The 18,311-nt window shown below is 39.5% G+C and overlaps 1 protein-coding gene across 14 annotated transcripts in view; it reads right to left on the bottom strand.

Moving 5' to 3' along the window:
* Window positions 3,717-18,311, bottom strand: part of YAP1 (Yes1 associated transcriptional regulator) — a 122,978-nt gene continuing 108,383 nt past the window's right edge. For all 14 annotated transcript variants that reach the window (XM_005271378.4, XM_005271381.4, XM_005271380.4 and 11 more), the window contains 3 exons: window positions 13,389-13,519; window positions 9,560-9,672; window positions 3,717-7,439 (listed from right to left, as the gene is read on the bottom strand). In XM_005271378.4, coding sequence (XP_005271435.1) covers window positions 7,201-7,439; window positions 9,560-9,672; window positions 13,389-13,519 — 483 coding nt within the window. In that variant the 3' untranslated portion in view covers window positions 3,717-7,200. The remainder of the gene's footprint in view (window positions 7,440-9,559; window positions 9,673-13,388; window positions 13,520-18,311) is intronic.

The raw sequence follows: 18,311 nt of genomic DNA, 5'->3' as shown, positions 1-18,311 counted from the left end.
TGATCAGTCTTATCTAGTTGTGATCCTAGTATCATTTAGAATCCACTGGGCTACAGCCCATGAGGCAGATGCCTCTGCTGAACTCTGCCTGCAGATGTGTTTACCTCCTCTTCCTTTTTTTTTTTTCCCCCTGAGACAGAGTCTCGCTCTGTTGCCCAGGCTGGAATGCAGTGGCGCGATCTCAGCTCACTGCAACCTCCGCCTCCTGGGTTCAAGCAATTCTCCGTGCCTCAGCCTCCCCAGTTGCTGGAATTACAGCTGCCTGCCACCGCAGCCAACGAATTTTTGTATTTTTAGTAGATACGGGGTCTCACCATGTTGTCCAGGCTGGTCCTGAACTCCTGACCTCAGGTAACCTGCCTGCCTTGGCCTCCCAAATTGCTGGGATTACAGGCGTGAGCCACCGTGCCAGGCTTTACCTCTTATTCAGTAGAAAAAAGTGCCAAATACAAGTTGCTGAGAGGTTCCCTGAAGGAGGAGGAAGTGTCTTTAGCTAGGTTTCCCAATGGCTGCATCACTAGTGAAGCTCAGCTTTGAGTAGCTGGCTTCAGTAGCTCTTGGTGATAGCACTGATAGACAGGAGATTTTCTCTCAGATCCTGCCATTTAATCCAGATCCTTGAGAAAATTAGTTCAAGTTTGCCAGATATGCTATCATTTTAATTGTGTAAATCCACTGTAACATAAAAACCCGATTTGAAACAGAACAAATGCTTTAAAAGGAACTGAGATGTGGGGCACGGCGTGGTGGCTCAGGCCTGTAATCCCAGCACTTTGGAAGGTGGAGGTGGGCAGATTGATTACTTGAGCTCAGGAGTTTGAGACCAGCCTGGACAACATGGTGAAACCCCACGTCTCTACAAAAAATACAAAAATTAGCTGGGTGGGTGGCGCAAGCTGCTTGGGAGGCTGAGGCACGAGAACTGCTTGAGCCCAGGAAGTGGAGGTTGCTGTGAGCTGACATTGCGGCACTGCACTCCAGCCTGGGTGACAGAGCGAGACCCCGTCTCAAAAAAAGAAAAAAAAAAAAAAAAAGAACTGAGATGTGGCTTCTAATAATATCCCAAGTAAAATTACAACCAAATGTGAAGTTTAACTCATATTTTATATAGATTCTATGAAGGTCGTGGGAACTATAATTCCACAAAAATATACCTGGGACAAGATGTAAGGAAACGTGGGGAAAGGTATGTCACAACCCTAAGAAGTTTTTACAAGTTCCTTTTACAAAAAAATCAAGCCCTGTCCACTAACTGAGTGCAAACCAATACCAATTTCACAAAGTTACAGTACCTCTAGTTCTTGTTTCTTTAACAGTTAAAGTTTGTTTTTAAGTTAACTAGACTAGGTGTTCAAAAATTTTACAGAAGTAGACCCTTTGCTAAGAGGTCTCCAAATAATTGCTTTCAGTGGCAAAGATACTAGGTTTTTTGTTTCTAACAGGATCATAGCAGCTTGTAAGTCAGGTCACTTTGGGAGTTTTGTTTTTTGTTAAAATACGGCAGACTTTAATTCAGAATACCTTTTCAGTGTCATTTTGTTTTGCTCATGTCTTGATTCTGCAACTGTTTTCATTTGTGGCAGTATTAAGGCTATGTTTATGGTTAAGAAATTATCCATTTTACCTATGTCAGAGCTTTTTGTGTTCAAGGTAGCAAAACATATTTTATGTGTGACTTGGAAAAACTGTAGTACTAAATGTCACCGACTTCTCATCTGAATTTTAATTTAGTAGTTAAGCTTTAAATCAAAAAAGATTTATCACAAAGTTCTCATGGCTAAAAAAGACTAAGTGCCAACAGTTTAAAGTTGAATAGGGATGACATGGCAGACATCCTGCCAGAGCTACTGTTGATTCCAACAGCGTTAGCACATGTGGAACCCCGGAGCCAGGAATTTACCCGCAATAAAGCCAGGTTTTCTGTCAGTAAAACTGATGATTACAGAAGCAGGGAGAGTCTGGCTGCCATTAGAGAAGGTAAGAAAACATCATCAGCTCCTTGGGGCTGCCTTTCTTTTGTAACCTCAGCTGTCAAGAAATGGAAATCGGGGTTGGGGAATTAAACAAAACCCCCAGTCTACCGATCACTTCTGCAGTAGTCACCTAGGTTTCCTTTCACTAGTAGTTACTGATCTCTCTCCCCCTCCCCCTCCCTCTGGAAGACTGTTTTCTTGCTTATTGCAGCTGAGCAATTCACTTACTGAGCTGTTGAACTTTAATTTGGGGTCTAAGAAAAACATTATGTAAATCATGTTTTAAGTATGACTACTATACTTCTCAAGTATTTGGAATGTTCCTCCTTGTTCTCGTTAGAGGCTATTCCCAAATCTAAATACATTTTTCTGAGTATTCTGTTAAACTCAGAGTTAACTAAAGATGGTACAATTCTGGTTCAGAGATCCAGAATGAAGGCAGATTCACATTACTGGGCTTCACACCATCTGACAAAAAGTGTACCACCGTGGAGCAACAAGCACAGTGTCTACAGACACAAGGTATGGTTTTGAGCCAAGATGTACCACCACTATATCTGAACTACAAAAAGGAAATAATCAATTTCAAGCTACACGAAATTAGTGTTCTAACATAAAGAAATTATATATTGTAAAATATGAAGCATTTTCAGATTTGCCTCACCAAAATAGATGTGTCAATAATTGAAGCTATTATACACGCAAACACAGAAATCAATCTTTTTTTTTTTTTTTTCTGAGATGGAGTCTCGCTCTGTCACGCAGGCTGGAGTGTAGTGGCGTGGTCTTGGCTTACCGCAGCCTCTGCCTTACGGGTTCAAGTGATCCTCCCACCTCAGCCTCTCAAGTAGCTGGGATTGCAAGCATGCACCACCATGCCCAGCTAATTTTTGTATTTTTAGTACAGATGGGGTTTCACCATGTTGACTAGGCTGCTGTCGAACTCCTGACCTCGGGTGATCTGTCCGCCTCAGCCTCCGCCCACAATGCTGAAATTACAGGCGTGAGCCACCACGTCCAGCCATCTTTAAAGATACTCAAATCTACTTCTTATTCAAAGGTCAGGACCTACCACTTCAATTTGTGAATGTTTTTATTTATAAGCCAGTAAGTAATGCTTTTTACTAATATATAATATTCTCTCATGACCTCCAAAATAGAACAGAATATATATATATTCTCAGCCTCCCGAGTAGCTGGGATTACAGGCATGCGACACCACGCCCAGCTAATTTTGTATTTTTAGTAGAGACGGGGTTTCTCCATGTTGGTCAGGCTGGTCTTGAACTCCCAACCTCAGGTAATCCGCCTGCCTTGGCTTCCCAAAGTGCTGGGATTACAGGCGTGAGCCACCACGCCTGGCCTGAGAGAATATATTAAAGAAGTAAAACCAAAGGCCATTCTGAAAGACAGTGCCATGTTCTTATGTTCTCAGTGTCCTCTGTGCCGTCACATGTAGTGAAGTCATTTAAGAATCAAGCAGACGCAGTTCTGCTTAGACACTACCACGGATGAGGATGGTGTATGTGAAGAGTAAGAACACAAAGTTAAAAGAATTATATATCCATACTTCAAAAGTTCCAAATGTCAAGCCTAACTTAAAGCACAACGAAACTTAAGTTTAACTTGTCTTCCCAGTTACTACTGTAATCACCTTTTATTGCCAGTTCTTGTTCTATTGGAAGACCAGTAAGAAGCCAAAAAAAAAAAAAGTTTCAAATATCAATTGTTAAAAACAACAAAGAAGAGTTTAAGGAAAGAATATATTTGAACCACATAAACAAACAAAAAGGTATTACATAAGAAAAAATAATGTAACAATTTATGTAAGTACCTAACATATGAGCATGCTCTTACATCTAAAACAAAAAATAAAAAGGTAACATTGGTACTATATATATATATTTGACAAGTGTGCATTAAAGAATTCTCTAATATAAAACATTTAAAATGTGGAGAATACTTTTTCAAGATACAGAAAACAATTGTTATGATAGGCACACCCACAATTCTTATAACAACATGCTTGCGAGGATAAAATCCACCTGAGCACTCATTTCTCAGATGTACCAACGCTAGAAAAGTGTTAAGCACTGAATATTGCCACCCACTTTTGCAATGTTTGAGTTTCAACACTGATTGGTATGAATTCTGAATTACACAATTAATTACTGTTATTTTTCAGTCTTTCTGCCATGTTCCATATAGAAGGCATGTATTTAATATGAATACTTAACACAGCAACATTATTTGTAGCAAAGTCACTTCCCTGTGTTCATTTTTCCTTTAAAGGCACTACATTTAGAAAAGTTATTACAACAAATAGTGCTTTGGAAGATCTGAAACTCCAAATCAATGTGCTCCATCAACCATAAGTAGATCTAAGAAGCCCTGACTGAAAATAACACAAATGTAAAAAGTTGATAAATTTAAAGATTATAAAATTGGTTTATTGTAAAAGCAATTCAAGAATACCCAGTTAAAATCTTATCCCAATGCTACCCAATACAACCAAGAAGCAGTTAAGCACTTTTACATTAGGAACAAGGACATAAAACAAGAGACCACATCAAGGCTATGATTCAAACTCAAAAAGGGAAAGGACTCTTAGGTCTCCTTCAGGTCAGTACAGAGGGCATCGTAAGATCAAAGCACTGTGCCAGGTATCACAGTACTGCTACAACACTGAGGTATAACTGGGCAAATTAAAGTTGAGGGGTAAAGGAAGATCTCCATATTCATATTGTTTTGTGGGTGTACTTAGGTGACTGAAACTCTAGAACAGCTGCCTTTAATGGCAGCACGGTGTAAGACAAGTCTTTATTAAAGAGAAAGAAGTTTATAAAGTTCTCTATCAAGGTCCCCCTAAATCTTCACAACCCCCCCCCCAAACTTTCCCACCCTCCCCCTAAGCTAAAGCTAATCTGCTGATATATAAGATATAATCTTAATCTGTGGCTACTGGCAAATTATAGGCACTCCTTCCAAGTAGCTTTGATCTTCTGCACATTAAAAAAAATCCCAACAACATGCTATGTAATTCATATACCCAATTTTGCATTCTAGGTAGAATTTCATTACTACTCTAAAACTCCATCTGCAGTGGCCATTTCCCCCCAGACTTAATTCAAGATTTAATCTTTCTGCTGTTTTCTTAATAAAAGCCTTAGAGTCAATTATTATGAGTGATCAACCTATGAACTATTATATACAACACAGTGATTGCATTTTTTTGAGCACTGAAAGTACTTAAAATAAAACTTCTTACTTCCAACTTTTGCCCTCCTCCAAATTGAAGGGCCAAAATACTTAGATTTTGTAATTGGGGGGAAAAAAATCTATCTTCCCAAGCTGAGGCTTTTCATAGCAGCTTTTGCCAGGAGAAGAGATTTTATGCCTGTTATGAACCCTTGAAAATAAGGGCTTATTCTAGAAACATTGAAAGACCCTTAAAACACAGAGGTGCTAGCTGGTGCCACTTTAATTCACAACCAACTATTACTTCATAGCTTATATTGAAGAGTTAATTCATGCTCGTTTTGTTCCTTTAAAAAATACTCTTTGGAAACCATTATTACTCCTGTAGACACATACTCTAGTTACATCATCTCTTCCTGTAAAAATAAAGGTATAATCATGATTATCTCTATTTCTTTGCTAAATTCAACTACCAATATACATTTATTAATCTGATCACTTTTCCAGCTAACTCAAAACCTTATAGTATTCTATCCAGGGTCAATTTTCAGCATAGAAGTAGGAGCAAGTCTTGTAAGTAAGAACAATCTTGAAGGCAATATTTTAATCTAGTCGTTAATGTGTTCATTACAAATGAGAACTACAAACTAGAATTTACTTCCAAAACTAAGGCAAAGAAAACTTCCAAAGCTAAATGAAGGTAAACCACTATAAAGCTTATTTCTGTCATGCACATTATGAACCTACTCACTGAATTCCAATCGAGACTTAAAAATTAGTCCAAGGGAGAAAATAAAGCCATTTCTGGTTTGCTCCTTTCCAATTCATCAGATAATATCTACCGTATGCCCAGAGGGCGTGGAGCACTCCCCTAGGCACTATCCACAGTAATAGCTCTTTCTAGAACACTAAACTACTTCAAACATCTGCAGACTGCCCCAACCAGATTTAAACTACCAGTGAAATATAAACTACTAGTCATGTATTCTAAATGCATACAAAGCGCTACCATTTTAAAAATTAACTGGAAAGCAGGGAAACCTAAAAAAGGATACATTCCACTACCACACTATTATAAATGTTATGTTTGGGTGTGTGTATGTATATAAAAGAGAGAGCAGATAATCGAGATTTAAATAAGGTGGTAAAAAAAACCAGGAAATGAAGATTTTACCAAAACAACTACAATAACCATCCCAAGCTACAACTATTAACAGATTCACTAATATGGTCATTTGCCTAGGTTCCGACAAAACCAACCAACCAACCAACCCCCCCACCGACCCTGCCAAAAACAAAAAAAACAAAAAACCCAACAAAACAGAACAAAATGCACACCCACAAAATTATCCACCAAAATCTATATTAGAGTATGTGGCAATAATTAATATATTTATATGGAAATTGTCTCATGCCTTATAAGCTCCTAAAATAAAATCAAGGTCATTATGTGACTAATGATAGCACTAGGAGGAAAAGAAAATACTGAAAGTAAAACAGTCTTCAGCCTTGGTTTCAGCTATCTCTTCAAATCAGCATTAAGTATTTAATATCAGATATAACATTTTTGGCTTGTCAGACCAGTAAATCATGTTTTTCCACTGGACAAAGGAAGCTGAAGAAACAACTGTTGAACAAACTAAATGCTGTGACATGAAGCATCTGACTTCTAAGTCTGAGTATTTAGTTAAAATGATTGGTGAACATTTAACTGGGCAAAAGGAATGGCATCCATCATCCAAACAGGCTCACTTCCCCCAGCCCCCAAAATGAACAGTAGTTTTAATAGCAAAAGAAATAAAAAGTTTTTTTCTTTTGATTCTTTAGAGCCAACTGTGAAAGAGGTCAGCAATACATTAACAGCAGCAATGGACAAGGAAGAGCAAAATAGAGGATTAAAGTATCTTGCTGGACGTTTGTTCATCTTTTTCTGTATTAGCCTGAAAACTGCAACTGGCTTATGGAAATTTCCGGTGCATGTGTCTCCTTAGATCCTTCACAGATTTAGAATTCAGTCTGCCTGAGGGCTCTATAACCATGTAAGAAAGCTTTCTTTATCTAGCTTGGTGGCAGCCAAAACAGACTCCATGTCATTAAGGATGTCAGAACTCAAAGCTTCCTGCAGACTTGGCATCAGCTCCTCTCCTTCTATGTTCATTCCATCTCCTTCCAGTGTTCCAAGGTCCACATTTGTCCCAGGAATGGCTTCAAGGTAGTCTGGGAAACGGTTCTGCTGTGAGGGCAGGGTGCTTTGGTTGATAGTATCACCTAGTGGAAACACACAGAGATAACAAAGTCCTTTTTGAAAAGCTAACATCAGGGCTGTATCATATGAGCACAGAGAAATGCACAGGGAAAGAAAAGCGCTCCTGACTGACCTAAACTGATACCTAGAATTTATATCAGGTCAAACAACTCACAGATAACAAAATAACAATGCCAAGTTTACTTTTGCTTCAACATTGTTCAGATATCCAATAACAGCTTGATTGCTATTATGTGCTGAGCACTAAAGGAGTCATGAAAAAAATAAAAAAGCCCTTGAAAAATTATATGCAGCAGCGGGAGAAAGAACAAGTACACAACACGACAGCATCACTACCCTGTCTTCCAGATAAGCACCACCATAATAAGACTAAACATAAACATGAGTGGTATAGACCTACCTTGGCCTTAAATATACTTTGGGAAACACTAAAATAGAAAGACTGCAAGAATACTTTATTCTACCCTTAGGAGATGCACCTTCCTAACAGCAAAACAAGCCTTCCCAGAGGGCTTTGAATAAATCCATCTTCCTAGCCTTGCTTCTAGGTTTCCCAAACTTACTTGGCCACAGAGCCTTTTTTGCATATGACAACATTAACACTCCTCAGAGCTTCAATAGAACATACTTTCAGAAAAACTAACATAAACCATTAAGTGCTACAGGGGTCTGGAGAAGAGAGCAATACAGATTAGAGGAGTAAGTAAAGGTGTTGTGTGTGAAATGGGTTTGAAGTGGCTCCTAAGGATGATTTAACATCTAGATAATCAGAGAGGAGGGGTAGTGTGGATTCTAGAAAGCATCAAAGCCAGGAGCTGGATGAATACAGGCACAAAAGCCTTGCTAAACACTTTCAGAATAGAAGCAGTTAGTGAAAGAGTTGGTAGCTAAAGAACAGCTTCATTTCCCTGCCAATTCATGCACTCTGGCAGTTGTCAACTCTAGGGCAATGGTTGCCAGGTAAGCCACAGGAGAAATGCTTCCGTAATTACCCCTGTGAGGCAGGTATTTCTTAGCTCCTGCAAGACCCCTGCAACTATTCTTTTTTTTTTTTTTTTTTTTTTTTTTTGAGACGGAGTCTTGCTCTGTCACCCAGGCTGGAGTGCAGTGGTGTGATCTTGGCTCACTGCAACCTCCGCCTCCCGGGTTCAAATGATTCTCCTGCCTCAGTCTCCCGAGTAGCTGGGATTACAGGTGCATACCACCACATGTGGCTAATTTTTATATTTTTAGTAGAGACAGGGTTTCACCATGTTGGCCAGGCTGGTCTTGAACTTATGACCTCACGTGATCTGGCTACCTCGGCCTCCCAAAGTGCTGGGATTACAGGTTTAAGCCACCGCACCTGGCCTTCTGCAACTATTCTAACAAAGTAAGTGAGCCCCACCTCCTAGTCTTTCCCACCTGGTTTCCTGAGCCCCATAACACTTAAGGTGGACCAAAAACTCTTAGAGAAAAGATGAAGACAAACACTGAATTACATGTAGACATCTCTCAAAATTAAGGACACTAATCTATAAGGAGAGAGATGTTCTAACAGGGTTGTCAGTTTGTCCTGCCAATTAAGATCAACATGCTAACATAAGTCATGTTATCAGAGTTTTATTCAAATAGAGCTAATATATCCAATTTATGATTTTTTTTTTTTTTTTTTGAGAAGAGGTCTCATTCTGTCACCCAAACTGGAGTGCAGTGGTGTGATCACCGGGGCTCAATCCATCCTCCCACCTCAGCCTCCTGAGTAGCTGGGACTACAGGCATGTACCATGACAGCTGACTTATTTTTGTATGTTTTTTTATAGAGATGGGGTTTCACCATGTTGCCCAGACTGGTCTTGAACTCCTGGGCTCAAACAATACACCCACTTTGGCCTCCCAAAATGCTGGAATTAGAGGCATGAGCCACTGCACCCGGCCAATCCATGATATATATTTTTTTAAACTAGGAAAAGACAAGTTACAAATCACCGTATAGAGACAAAGCAGGATCAATTTAATTCAAATTTACAGGATTTTAATTGGTTTTCTTCTGAATCATCTTTGCTTACAATACCTTATGAGACCTGGTGATAACATATCCCACTGTTAAGTCAGGTTACTAAGAGGAATAAAGAATACCAACCTGTATCCATCTCATCCACACTGTTCAGGAAGTCATCTGGGGTTCGAGGGACACTGTAGCTGCTCATGCTTAGTCCACTGTCTGTACTCTCATCTCGAGAGTGATAGGTGCCACTACATAAACATGACAGTTAAAGACCAACACAAAAAATTTTAAAAATCAATTCAAGGTAAAAATAAACACCTGCTGAGCAGCAACATAATTCTCAAAGAGGATTAGTGAAAATTCCTGTCCTGCAATGTCTGAAACAAGCACCCTCCCTCAGGGCCATAGACAGGGCTTGTGCTATGAAGTGAAATAGACAAGTTAATCCTAATTGAAGCTGGCAGCTCTAAGGAACCAAGATTTCTCCTAAGGTTCTGTGCTTGGTGACAATAAGGGACAAAAAAAGATACCCCCAGTTAGTTTTCCTGGCTGACAGAAAATTCTCTGCATCAGTATTCTCCTCTCTGTAATATCATTTGAATCTGGGGGTGCGGAGGAACCCATACAACTTACTTGTCCCAAGGCCTCAATTCTCCAGGTGGTGGTGGCACAGAGACGTCACAACACAAACTCCAGGTGGGCGAGGAGACAGGTCTGCACTAGACTCAAGTTAAATTCCTAGCTATTGTGCAGAGAACATAAGCCAAGGAAAAATCAACCCCAAATAAACCACCAGAATTCCTTTTAGGACTGAGCCAAAATAGGTGAGTCACTGCCAATAAGATAAGAATACTCGTGGCTTGATCTCCTTGCTTCTGTGTTTGGGCGGGGGAGGAAAAAGCCTCAAACACTTCAGTACGAAACGAAACGGGAAATCATATAGCTCCAGTTAAAGAAAAGAGCAAAACAAAAAACTGCAAGGCACATCCCTTGAAAATAAAATGACCCAACACAGATTTTCACTTTAGACTAAGTAAGGTTTCCCAGATTTACATTAAAAGTATGGTAAATATCCATTACCCTGAGAAATAGAACACTTTCCTAAGCTAGTAGCATCTAGACATCAGCTGGCATTCCCTGAGTTCTACTAACTCTACAAAATCTTAGAGAAACGCATAAAATCAAGGCAGCTGTTATTCTTCAATGGTCTGTGTGAGTGTGAACTTCAACTTTCTCTACGGCTTGTACATTTAATAAGCAGCTATTTAACTTACATAAAAGTTAAAAAATAAAAACAAGTTTAACAATTGCTCAAGGCTAAAAGCTCAGTCAATACCCCAACTGCCTTCCCTAAATGATGCAATGCATTTGCCTTGTTCTCTCTCTCCCCTCATTCTATATACTGCCATCACTGGTTTACTCTAATGCTTCTGCCAGATTTTGCCAAGGCTCAAAAGCCTCACACAGATCCAAGAAAACACACATTTGCCTCTGAGACCATTGGTATACAATGCAGCCATATATGAGAAGGCCTCAGGATGTGGTTTGTTTGTATTTTGCCTGCCCTGATCTGGGACAAGAGCCTGGTCCTAGTCATCACTCTATTCGGCTGCTAAGCATGGGACACACATCAGACATTTTAGTCTATTACTGAATAACTGAACTTACAGAGTTGCGCAGAGTTCATTCCAAACCACAGGGGAAGCACATGGGCATTCCTGAGGACAGAGTTTACAGGGCCATTTTCCTGGTGAGGAACTGCTCCCTGCAGAACCCCACTTCCTACAGGCCCCACTCATTCAGTAAACATTCACTGAGCATCTGCTACTACATGACAGGCATTAGACTAGGCTTTGAGGATAAAGAGGTTAACAATCACCACCACCTACAAACAATGTTTTGTGAGAGGCTCACAACTTCAAGGAGGGAAATGAACAAATATACTAATGAATCATATTTAGGGGCTATATGAACTCAGATGTAAGCACAGTGCTTTCAGAACAAACAGGGAGCTTAGAAGTAAAGGGTAAAAGTTTCATGGAGGGGGACATCTGAGTGAGCTTTGAGGGTAAAAGTAAAAGGGAACTAAGGGAACTCAGCATTACTACTAAGAGTCAATGCCAAGGCAAGTTGGGGCAAAAAGTATTTAGAGCTTAAGGAATATACATAAATCAAATAGTAAACAAGGGAAAAACCATCAAGAGGTTTTTTTGTTTGTCTTTTTGTTTTTTGAGACCAAGTTTCACTCTTGTTGCCCAGGCTGGAGTGCAACGGCATGATCTCGGCTCACCGCAACCTCTGCCTCCCGGGTTCAAGCGATTCTCCTGCCTCAGCCTCCCGAGTAGCTGGGATTATAGGCATGCGTGACCATGCCCAACTAATTTTGTATTTTTAGTAAAGATGGGGTTTCGCCATGTTGGTCAGGCTGGTCTCGAACTCTTACCCCAGGTGGTGGTCCACTTGCCTTGGCCTCCCAAAGTGCTGGGATTACAGGCATGAGCCATCATGCCCAGCCAAGAGTTGTTTTTTTTTTTAAAGAAAAAAAAAGTCAAAGTCAGATGTATGTTATTATTAGAAACTGGGGGTACTGCAGAGAATGCATATACAATTCTGCCCTTAGATTAGTAACACTGATTATCTGCCACTCTGATCTTCCCAGAAAATAGAATCTCAAATTGTAGCCCAGCTCTCATCAAAAGTTTTAAGAAAAAAAATCTTCATAAGTGACTGTCAGAAGGATATGCAGCCTATCCATTTTTAAAATGGTCTAATTTTTATCCCTGGGATTAATATAGCCCCTTCAACAAGACAGGTACTGGAATTACATGGATATGAAATTTTCCTTGTTGGAAAAAAAGTTCTGAGGCTATGCCTCTCTTAATTAGCCTCAGTTTAAGTCTAGAACTATAATCTTATATAAATACACTTACTTTTAGAACTTTAAAGTGTATGTCAGAAGAGTAAATACAAACTTAAAATACATTTTAGATGGTCTTCAAAATCAAACCTTCCAACTAGGCCACCAGTACTAATCTTAAAAACTGAGTAAATGGTGAATTCTATTGCACTAAATACTTTTAGCAGGATAAGATATTTTCTCTTGGAATTACTAAGTTTCCAATTCAATTGGTGAGAACTGAAAAGGTGGTGTAATAGTTTTCCTAGTGCAAAATACCTTTGAGTATTTAAGAAAGTGTGTTATTTAAATCAGTTAGAAAAGGAATCCAAAGCGTAAACTAATCCCATATTTTAAAAAGTTTGAAACTCCACAACCTAGAAGAAGGAATTTTAGTTAAATCTTAATCTTAAATGACTTCCTAGGCAAAGAATATGACCTGTTTCAGCTTACAGACTTCAAAATGGCAGTTTATGTAATATTGCAATCTGTCTGAAACCCAGGATTTGTGGTAACTCACTAAGAAGCATCCCTAAGCTATGTTATTTTCAAATACTGCCGTTAATCTTAGTGCATTTTTGAAAGAGGCACAACCTTACATTTTATCTCCTTGGACTATAGCCCTTAAGAACATGAGGCCTTACAGTGCTGCTGGGTGAAACGTTTTAGCTTGAATAGCTATGTGGAAAATTCCTTCCAGTGATCCTTATAATGCAATCCTAAGTAGGTTTAACATGAAATTCATTTGCTTTCACAGAAAGGCATTCACATGTTCCTTCATGATTCTGTAATTTTAAGTAACTGTTAGTCAACAGTATAGGCAGAAGCAAACACGTCATGACTTTGAATAAGTATCCCTTGTACAAGTCTGAACAGTTCACTTCCTCTCACAGGAGACAACTTTTAATCCTCAACTCTGCATGTACTTGCCATTTACAGAGAGATTCATTTACAGCTATGGTTTTTGGCCCACACAGATGTTCCAAATAGCCTATTACAAGCACTAAGCAGAATGATTTTAAAGCAATGATCCTTTTCAGATATTCACCAGTAGCAACTTTCACCAACCTGTTAAGGAAAGGATCTGAGCTATTGGTCGTCATTGTTCTCAATTCCTGAGACATCCCGGGAGAAGACACTGGATTTTGAGTCCCACCATCCTGCTCCAGTGTTGGTAACTGGCTACGCAGGGCTAACTCCTAATTAAAAATAAAGCCAAAGAGAATCAATCTACTGATTAACACATTTAATGTTAGGTTTAAAGAAATAAAACGTTCATCAGAGTAACCGTGCAGATAGATTAAAAACATCTACTTTAAAGTTAATACATTTCCCAATCAGAATGACCTAATTCTATCCATTTCAAATGACTAAAAATTAAGTTACATATATTTAAAGTCTGTCTAGTCATATTAACCACCCCCCACCCTATATACATTTTGCTACTTTGTTTTCTTTTTGTTATTTTCCTTACTCTGGAAGATACTCCCAAATCCTCCTTTGGGTTATTATAGAATGGCAAGTCTGGTCTTTAAAAAAAAATTCTTCTTTTTTTTTTTTTTTTTTTGTTCTTCAAGACGGAGTCTCACTCTGTCACCAGGCTGGAGTGCAGTGGTGCAATCTTGGCTCACTGCAACCTCCGCCTCCTGGGTTCAAGTGATTCTCCTGCCTCAGCCTCCCGAGTAGCTGGGACTACAGGCACGCACCACCACGCCCAGCTAATTTTTTGTATTTTTTTTAGTAGAGACGGGGTTTCACCATGTTACCCAGGATGGTCTCGATCTCTTGACCTCGTGATCCACCCGCCTTGGCCCCCCAAAAGTGCTGGGATTACAGACGTGAGCCACCGCGCCCGGCCCTAAAAAAATAATTCTTAAAGTTTGCTTTTACTCGACAACTCTTATATGGTTTTGTGTGTTTGGAACCCCCCGACCCCCTCCCCCGCCAAAAAAAAAGAAGTAGGAAGAATAGCATCTGATGATTTTACTATAAGACACCAATCCTTCCCCAACCCCCAACACTATTTCACACTTTGCTATTAAATGTCTCATTTTGACTTTAGGTTTTTCTATCCTGAGCTGGATAGAATATGTTCCATCCTCTAGCAGGGAGAGAGGAGGAAAATGAAAAAAAGACATCAGAAGTTAAAACACAAACCCAAGGCTTCTCCACCACAAACATAATATTTAAAATGGGGTAAAATTTCTTCAGGGTCATCCAACAATTTCTCAGCAGGATTCTCCCTGTAAACCTGAGCAAAGGCTGTAGGTTGCTACTCTGATGGTTGCAGAAGGCCTGCCTTCAAGGGCTTCCAAACCTCCCAGGTTTCAGCCTGTATTTGCCCAGGACCTCAAAAACAGTTCATCTCACTGTGACCCATCCGTAGCACACTCATTACTACTCTGTCCTTTTTCTCTCCTTTATCTGTTCACTGTTTCTTACCCTCCTAAGAATTTTCACTGTGCCTCTCCACCTATCGTAAACATCATCTCTACTAGACCATCAGCTTTCTTTCCCTCTACTTTTTGGGTTTGATTTGAAATACATACAGTTTCTTATCACAAAGGATACTGGCCTGACTCCGTCATCCTTCCACACAGCTTTCTGAGCCAAGTCTGCTCACTGAGGCACGGCCCCACCATCTCCAGCCCTCACCTCCACAATCGCCATGGGGTCCTGAAGTATGGAAAGCTTCTCCTAGCTCTACGCTGCCACTTCTAAACTACAATTCTCCTGCATGCAAATACCACTTATTTTTCTTTAGGTTTATGCCTTCTGGATATACCATCCTTTAAACCAGAGTTTCTTAACCAGCGGACCATGACAGAATTCAGAGAGTCTCTGAACTTCAATGGGGTAAAAAAAAAAAAATTACACATTAACTTTCGCTAAATTTGTCAACATTTTCTCCAATGTAGTATGCACCATTAGTATTCACTGTACCTAACTTTTCACCAATAGAACATATAAATGTTTTCATATCACATTGTAGTTGTTGCAAATATTTTAAAATACCATTTATGATCATTGCTATTTCAATGCTACAGTAGTTACGTTATAAGATGTGCTTCTAGATTTTTTTTTTTTTTAATCTTTTTGAGACAGGGTCTCACTCTGTCACCCAATCTGGAATGCAGTGATGCAATTATAGCTCACTGCAGCCTTGACCTTCTAGGCTCAAGTGATCCTCCTGCCTCAGCCTCATGAGTAGCTGCAGCCACAGAGGCACACCACCATACCCAGCTAATTTTTTGTATTTTTGTAGAGACAGGGTTTTGCCATGTTGCCCAGCTGGTCTCAATCTCCCAGGCTCAGATGATCTACCCTCCTTGGCCGCCCAAAGTGCTGGCATTACAAGCATAGGCCACTGCACCCAGCCTTAGATCTTGTTATTTATACATTAAAAAGAAGCACGTTATATCACAAGTTTCTATTTAATATTTTCTTAACTGTATCAATGAAATTCCTTTTCTTTTCAATCCTGTACTTTAAAAAAAAACAAACACCAATGTCCTGAGAGGGAACCTAGGGACTTGGCCAAATGCCAAAATTGTTTGCCTGTCTTCCCTGCAAGGTAAACTGCTTCTTGTACTCAAATTTACTGATCTCTTCGTTACTCCATCTTATATACGGGAAAATTCTGGAGTCTGGTCAAAGCCTCTTGCCACTCCAAGTATTCTCCATGCCTCTTAACATGCTTCAGTATTAAATGGACAATTCACTTAACCTGACAGCTTCCTGAACCTTCTGGATTCCAGTGACCTTCATCTCCACTCCACTCAAACACCCATTGCACAGCCACTAAGATCCTGTTATTTGAAACCAAACCAACTCTAAAATCTTAAGTCATGTTTTGAGACGATGATCAGTGTTTCTCTTCATTCCAACTGCATTCATCACATTGGAATTATGACCTCCATGCATAAAACCCATATAATAACCCATTGTTGAAATGCCGGGATCGCCTTTACACCGAAATGATACTGACCACTTCATCACTGTATTTCAATCATTAATTCCCTCAGTCATACCCAAGAACTGGCTTAGAAACTTCTCTCCCCAAAATCTTACATGCACTTATTTTACTTTCTCACATTTTTTTCTAACCAGTTCCTGCATAGACTCATGTCCACTCTACCAGCCCTCCAACCTCAGAGACTCCAGACCCATCTCTCCTTACTAGTCTAGTCTATTGGCTGTCTTTTGGTATCTTATTTTTTTTTCTCCTTCCCTACAAGCTTAAATTCATGACTGATCATTCAAAACAGCATAAGCACCTTTTAGATTCCTGATGTACATATAATTTTATCTCAGCCCAGCAAATCCCAACCCCAAAGCAATGCCAAAGTGTATTTGTTCCATTTTCATTCTGAGATTGCTGAGAAATGCTAAGGGAAAAGAAAAAAAAGAAATCACATAACTATCCAGAATGTTATCATTACAAATTAAAGGTCTTTGGTTTTGGATGGACCCTAGTACCACTTATTGGTTTTTTTGTTTTGTTTTGTTCTTGGTCAGTTGTTTTTCACATCCTCATGGTCACTACTCCAAATATGGCATACTATCTCAAGCCCCTATTCAGGGAAGTCCATTTCTTTTCTTTTCTCTTCCTCCAAATTTTTTTGTAGAGACAAGGTCTCACTATATGTCGCCCAGGCTGGTCTTAACACCTGAGCTCAAGCGATTGGCCTCCCAAAGTGTTAGGATTACAGGCGTGAGCCACCATGCCCAGCCAGTGAAGTCCATGTCTATTTCTTTTCCATCTACATTAGAACACTGAGGCCATTGGCTGGGTGTGGTGGCTCACGCCTGTAATCCCAGCACTTTGGGAGGCTGAGGTGGGCGGATCATTTGAGGTCAGGAGTTGGAGACCAGCCTGACCAACATGGTGAAACCCCGTCTCTACTGAAAATATAAAAAAATTAGCCAGGCGTGGTGGCGTATGCCTGTAGTCCCAGCTACTCAGGAAGCTGAGGTTGCAGTGAGCTGAGATTGCGCCACTGCACTCCAGCCTAGGTGACAGAGCGAGACTCTGTCTCAAAACAAAAAACAAAAAACAAAACAAACAAAAAAAACCAGGTCATCAGGTATAATCTTTGATTTTTCTGGCCCCTCTTGCCACCTCTTCCTGCTTGCCTCAAAAGTAACTTCATTTATACTCATCATCTTTTTAACTTTTCTTGCAGTCTTATGGGGATCCCTCTTATTTCTTTTCTATCTTCTACTTTTGACTCCTCCCATGCTCATCTTACAAAGTGAGAAGTGACTTTAAAACAGTGATACTACACTCATTGTAGTCTGTCTGTGGGAGGACACATCCTCTCAATACCATGCCTTTCTTCCGTATTATTTAAGACCTGGTGAAGGCACTACCTTTTTGAAGAAACTCTCCGTGGTGATCCCATCTCGATCTTGAGATTGGATTAGACACAGACATGTCATGTCTTTAACATCCTGAACACAGCACTTATCACAAAATATCGTAATTATTTTTGCTGTACCCCCTAAGGCCAGAGTGAATGAATTACTCTGGAGCATAAAACAACTTAAAATTCCTTGAAGAATTTATTTTGCTCTTAAAATATGAGGATGTATTTAACAATAAACTTTAAAATGAATAAAATTATAGACTCCAGAAAAGGCTGATGCCTAGGGTTCTGTGACAAACATGGGAGTATTGGAGAATATTCTAAAGACTCTCATTTGCTTTTTATCAAAGAAGGTATGCTCCTGTTTGTAGCACAAAACAAATATATAACACTAAACTGTAAGTCATAACTAAAATAACTGAATTGGCTATAATTTTCATATTATTTTTACAACTTTTTATTTTAGCCTTTTAAATAAAATTCCTACTTTTTATTAGGTTAAAACTAGTATCATGTGCAGACTAGACTCTCCATGTTCTTGCTGCTTTGAATTTGGCCACTATGTTTGTTAAAAGCCGTGAAATTTTTACTTTTTACTTCATTTAACAACTGAATTTCTATG

The sequence above is a fragment of the Homo sapiens genome, chromosome 11 (genome assembly GCF_000001405.40).
Source record: "Homo sapiens chromosome 11, GRCh38.p14 Primary Assembly".
Lineage (NCBI taxonomy): Eukaryota > Metazoa > Chordata > Mammalia > Primates > Hominidae > Homo > Homo sapiens.
This window is presented reverse-complemented; position numbering and strand designations above follow the sequence as displayed.